Consider the following 6,000-nt stretch of genomic DNA (forward strand, 5'->3'; position numbering starts at 1 on the left):
CCCCAAAGCAGCACTGTTTGAGCTCGGAGTCCATAAATTATCTCACCAAGAAGACTTCAGACCTCCCATTCTTCCCCTCTATGCCTCACTCCCTGCAAGCAACTTCCCATGCCCTAACCCAGTGAGGGCGTATGTGGAAATAGCCAGCCAGCTAACCTATGCAGCTGTTGATCAACCATGCCTACCAACCAGAACAGTAAAATGGTTTTGCACCTACCTGGCTTTGAAGACAAGCAGTCCTGGGTGCCAGAGTCAGCAGCGCTCCTGTTTATTAACTATTTGACTTAGGTATACCATATCTTATACTCTGAGCTGGTTTCTTCATCTGTAAAATTGAGATAATCATGGTAGCGGCTTCAGAGAGCAATTGTAATAATTACTTGACATAAATCATGTAAAGCACTACTTCCCAAACTATTTCCCATAATATATGCCAGTGGAGGGCTCCTGTTAAATCTATGGGTTCCAGGACTTTACACCAAGCCTAGTGAATCAGATCTTCAGGGAGGGGCTCAGAATCTGTATGCTGAATGAGTGTTCCAAGTGGTTCTTTTGACCTTATGGGAAATGCTCAGTAAATAGTAGCTTTGCAAAGTCACAATTTACATTACCAATATCTATAGTCAGTTTAACAATGATGTCACAATTTCCATCAAGAACAATGAGTACAATGTTTTACTTCTGGATAACAAAAGGGCCATTCTGAGATTTTTTTTCTTAAAGCAGCAGTCTCCTCCAAAGGTAAATTAAGGTCTGTAAATTTAGATTCAGAAAATGATCTGTAAATTTTATTTTATCTTATTTTATTATTGTTTTATTTTTTGAGACAGGGTCTCACTCTGTCACCCAGGCTCAACCTTCTCATTGCAGCCTCAACCTTCCAGGCTCCAGTGATCCTCCCTCCTCAGCCTCCTGAGTAGCTGGGACTACAGGCATGTGCCACCATGCCCGGCTAAGTTTTGTATCTTTAGTAGAGACGGGGTTTTGCCATGTTGTTCAGGCTGGTCTCGAACTCCTGGGTTCAAGCAATCCTCCTGCCTTGGCCTCCCAAAGTGCAGGGATTACAGGCATGAGCAACCACACGGGCCCATAAATTTTAAATGAGCACTTATCCTGCTTTTACCTACTAATGTTTCAAAAACTTTAGGGACTGATCATATACAGGTAGCCCTATTATATCATATTCTCTGTAGGGTCCTGCATACAATAATCATCTTCAGAATTATGTTAGATTCACATACACAATGTCAACACATGTACAATTTTTGAAATACACCAGACTCAGAAACATAACCCTTGCAAACCTTGGGAAGTGTTCATATATGTTTTTATTACTCAATTTTTTCATCCTCTTAAATCTTCCACCCAACTGTGATCAATCAAGGCTATCCTTTATAATCATGGACTTTTCTGTGATCTTTTCTACAAAAACTTTCATCTCATTTCTGAAGCATCACTTCTCTTCTAATATTGTCTTGTTTTCCAACTCATTACACTGATACCTTCTCCTCAGTGTGAAATTACTGACATCGATGAGGTGTGAATTCACCCTCCTGGGTTCTGCTCCTGTACGAGTTCTCTGGAGAACCATGAGTCATGGCTTCCAGATGAGACCCTTTGCCCATTTTTGTCCATTGACTTATTGGAGTAAGCTGTCGATAAGAGTTTCTCTATGTCAAATGAGGGTTGAGCTATATTTGAAGGTTTACCCATGTTTTGTAGACTACAAGCCTTTTTCATACGAATCTTCTGATGTTCCAATTCCCTTTTGAGGTGGTCTCTGGTATCTCCACTGGCCTTTTATTTATGCATTTGCTTTTGAGAGGGGCTCACCAAATTGCCCTCCACAGACCTACTGGGGGGGCCCTGCTGGCCCCTTCCACCCACCCAGATCACAGCAGAAACATTGAAGGCAAAACTTCCAACTTGGATCCCTTCCAGGAATAATAGTAATATCAACTATTCTGCATTCTGCTCAAAGCTCTATCTAAATCATCCCATTTAATCTTTAAAATGGCCCTTCAAAGTGGATATTATTACAATACTCACTTTAAATGTTTGGTTCAAAGAACTTAAACAACTTGTTCAAGGTCATTGAGCCAGTAAGTAGCAGAGCCTGATCCTTTGGACACTAACTATAGCTTCCAGTCTCCGTACTGTTGCCCCAATTCCCTCTCACTTTTCATCTTCTTCCTAGTGACTTAATGGGAGCCCCAATCTTGCCAAGGGGAAGTCCATAGTCTTTAACACTTTCAGCCCAGCTTGGCACCGAGACCTTGCCCAGCCCAGCTGGACTTGCATGACAGAGAGGCTTTATTCTCCAGTCCTGTGTTCCTCCACAGCCATTCTCTGAAGGATGAGGTCATTCTTCATAGAATTACTTTCTGCTCCTCCAGCCATACTCCCCTAACTGCAGCGCCCCTCAACACACTGTAGTCTCCCAGTTCCAATTATCATCACCAGGCTGAGTGGGCCCTTGGAGACACCTCCAGGAAGGAGAGGACTAAGTTAAAGTCCAGGCAGCAAAGATACTGTATTATCTATCTCTGTATAACAAATTACCCCAAAGTTTAATAGTTTAAAACAAAAAACGTTATTATCTCCCAGTTTCTACGGGGCAGGAATATGAATGAGTCTTAGCTGGATGCCTCTGGCTCAAGTTCTCTGAAGAGGCTGCCATCAAGCTGTTGGCCAGGAACATGGACTCATCTGAAGACTCAACTAGAGCTGAAAGCTCCAATCCCAAGCTTGCTCACGTGGTTGTCATCAGGCGTCAGTTCCTTATGAGTTATGAGGCTAAAGATCTTAGTTCCTCGTCACACCACATAGGCCTCTCCAAAAGACCACTCACAGTATGGCAACTTGCTTCCTCTACCACATGTGATTCAGGAAAGACAGCAAGAGAGAGCACACCCAGGGTGCAAACCACAGTCTTTTTATAACCTATCTCAGAAGTGCCGTTCTATCATGAATACTGCATTTTATTTGCCAGAAGTGAATCATTAGTCACTTAGTGGAAGGAAATTACACAAGAGCACAAATAACAGGAGATGGAGATCATTGCCAGAGCAGGGGTTGCAGGGTGGTCGGGACTTGGTAATCCCACTGCAGGAAAAGCCATTTAAAGCCTTGGCCCAGTACTTGCATCTCAGGATGTCAAGAATAAGAGATCATGGCTGAGCATGGTGGCTCACACCTGTAATCCCCACACTTTGGAAGTCCAAGGTGAGAGGATTGCTTAGGCCAGGAGTTCAAGACCAGCCTGGGCAATATAGCAAGACTCTGTCTCTACAAAAACAAATGTTTTAATTAGCCAGGATATAGTGGTTCATGCCTATAGTTCCAGCTACTTGGTAGGCTGAGGCCAGGGGATCATTTGAGCCTAGGAGTTGGAGATTGTAGTGAGCTATGATGGTACTACTGCACTCCTGCTAGGTGACAGAGAGAGAGAGAGACACTATCTCAAAACAAAAAAAAGAAAAGAAAAGAAAACCAAAATAAGAGATCATGATCTCAGTAACTGAATCCTGTGGAGAAGAAAGAATGGGGTTCTTTGTTTCCAGTATTGGCTCTGCCACTATTTGATTTGCAAATCTGGCAGGTCACTTGGCTTCTCTGACCCTTGGTTTTCCTCCAACGAATGAACCCCTAGAGACAAAGATCTTGTCTGATTTACTTCTGTATACATCAAAGACCTCACAGAGCATTTGGCACACAGTCAGAGCTTAATGAATATTTGCTTAATTAATTAATTACACTATGTTGAAAGGTTGTGAGGATCAAAAAATATAGTTGAGTGTTGTAAGTCATCAGATCACAGAGACCTAGTGCTACAAAATCTTAACCATGTGAAGGTCTTATCATGAAACAGAAGTGGACTAAACCGTGCTAAAGGGCAGAAAACCATTAGATTGGTGCAAAAGTCATTGCGTTTTTGCATTGAAAGTGATGACAAAAGCTGTGATGACTTTTGCACCAGCTAATACCATTCTCCCATCTCCCTGTGTCTGAAGCAAGGCTCTTCCCTTCCTTCCTCAAAATGGAATAGCCCTGAATTACCTGTTTTTTAAATGATGGCTTTTCTTATCTCTTTTGTTTCAGACTATGCCTACTATAACTTTTTTTTTTAATCTAAAGTGTTTTATGACCCCCTCATGGAACCTAAGTTATCCTGTCTCATAAATAGAATGTAGGCAACTTGAGGGCCCTCAAAGCATAGTGGTAGACTTAAGAATGATGAAAATATCTAGAATTGAGAGCAAGATTAGTGGTACTAGCCATTGTAAGGAAAGAAAGTCCCAGAAAGACAATGATTGGATGCCTTTTCTCCTACTCTTCATCATGGGATCAGGGTTTTGTGGGACAGAGGAGACAGAATAAAGAAAAGGTGGAAAAGATAATAATGGCAAAAACTTATGTATAATGTCTCTGTAAAGTCTCTTCTCCAGTAATCTTGAGATGTCACATCATTTCCTCCTGTGTAACTTCTTGCTTCATAAGGACAAAATTTCCCAAATCTCTGCAAGCTGAATTCATTCCTCTGCATAACCTAAAAGGCCATGACTAAAGAGAAAAGCATCCCTGTGCAAGTAAAGGAGACAAGAAGGGAATGTTCATGGAACATGTGAGGTAGTGCGTATGAATGCAGGACCCACCTGCACCAGGTCACCTAAGGTACTTAGGTTAAAATTCTGATGCTCAGTCTTTACTCCAGCCCTCTGAATCCAACTCTCTGGAGAAGAGGGAGGAATAAGAGTAGAAAATCTGTCCAGTGGTCTTTGTTGGGAAGGTGGGAAGAGTTGCGAAAGATCTGTGCCTGGCAAGTTTCCAGCCTGGTAGGGTGTTATCCAAAGCAGACAGACTGGAAATGCAGGTCTGCCCTTGAAACCTCTAAAGGTCAAAGTAGAGATGCTGAAATGAAGGTCATCTTTAAATTCTAAAGAGCAGGACTGAAAGCAAGAGACCACGCCAGTGGATCAGGAACTCAAAAGATTCTTTCATCAGTCAGGGTCAGGAGCAGGTAGAAGGCCCTGATAAGCGCTGGTAACAAAAAGGGGTTCTTATTTACCATGGTGGTCGGGTCCATGGGTGGGTCTGCCTAGCCTAAAGGTTTTTCTTCAATTGTTGCACACCCAAGAGGAATGCTGTCTCCGCCCACCATTTCCCCTGCTGTCACCTTCCACGACTCTAACTCAGATTTGCTGAGATTGACAGAGCTGCCAGGGGAGCCAGCCGGGCTGTCTGGTGTGTGTAGTTAAAAATAATCTTTAGAGATTGCTAAGCTGGCTTCTGAATATCTGTGGCTCTAATTAATGGGTGATCGTCATGCTGTTATATGAATTTGAAAACTACTGCTTCCAGAATGCATTGTTGCCCCAGCTGCTGTCTGCCAAGCCACCCCATATTGTCCCCATCACCCGCTGGCCCCCACCCACCCCAATCTGTCACCCCCAGGGACCAAAACCTGTGCTTAATCCACTGGATTCCAAGTCTTGGCCTGGTTACCAAAAGATACCCTGAAAAACAGCTTGAACGCAGAGAATAACAAAGGGGCTTCATCACAGCTTATTTCACTTATTTATTTTTCTCGGGGATTTCTCTGCTTCAGCCGCCTCAGGGGGCAGGTACAACAAAATGACAGAAATGAAAACACTGAGCCACATTAAAATGCTCTACCAGCAACAGCCAAATCCTGAGGCTTTGAGAATAAGCTGACAGCAAGTGCAGCTGTCCCTCTGCTAGCGACACGAGTGTAGGCTGATTGATGGTTTTGGGCTTAAGCCCAGGAGTTTAATGATAATGATGATGGTGGTGATGATAATTATTATAATAATAACTAACTTTTATTGAGTGTTTTCTATGTGCCAGAAACTGTTCTATGCATTGTGTATATCTCTATCTGCATCTCTCTCTGTAATATCTACATATCTAAAATCTTATTTAATTCTTACTGCAGTTCTATGAGGTAAGAAATATTATTACCCCATTTTACAGAGGAGG

The 6,000-nt window shown here is 42.6% G+C and overlaps 1 long non-coding RNA gene across 1 annotated transcript in view; it reads right to left on the reverse strand.

Annotated features, from left to right (window-relative positions):
- The window catches only part of LINC01992 (long intergenic non-protein coding RNA 1992), a 62,784-nt gene extending 62,252 nt beyond the window's left edge, over positions 1-532 (reverse strand). The window contains exon 1 of the long non-coding RNA NR_146896.1: positions 218-532. This is a non-coding gene — a long non-coding RNA (long intergenic non-protein coding RNA 1992). The remainder of the gene's footprint in view (positions 1-217) is intronic.
- Positions 533-6,000: the final 5,468 nt, after the last annotated feature.

Source organism: Homo sapiens, chromosome 17 (assembly GCF_000001405.40).
Source record: "Homo sapiens chromosome 17, GRCh38.p14 Primary Assembly".
Classification (NCBI taxonomy): Eukaryota; Metazoa; Chordata; class Mammalia; order Primates; family Hominidae; genus Homo; species Homo sapiens.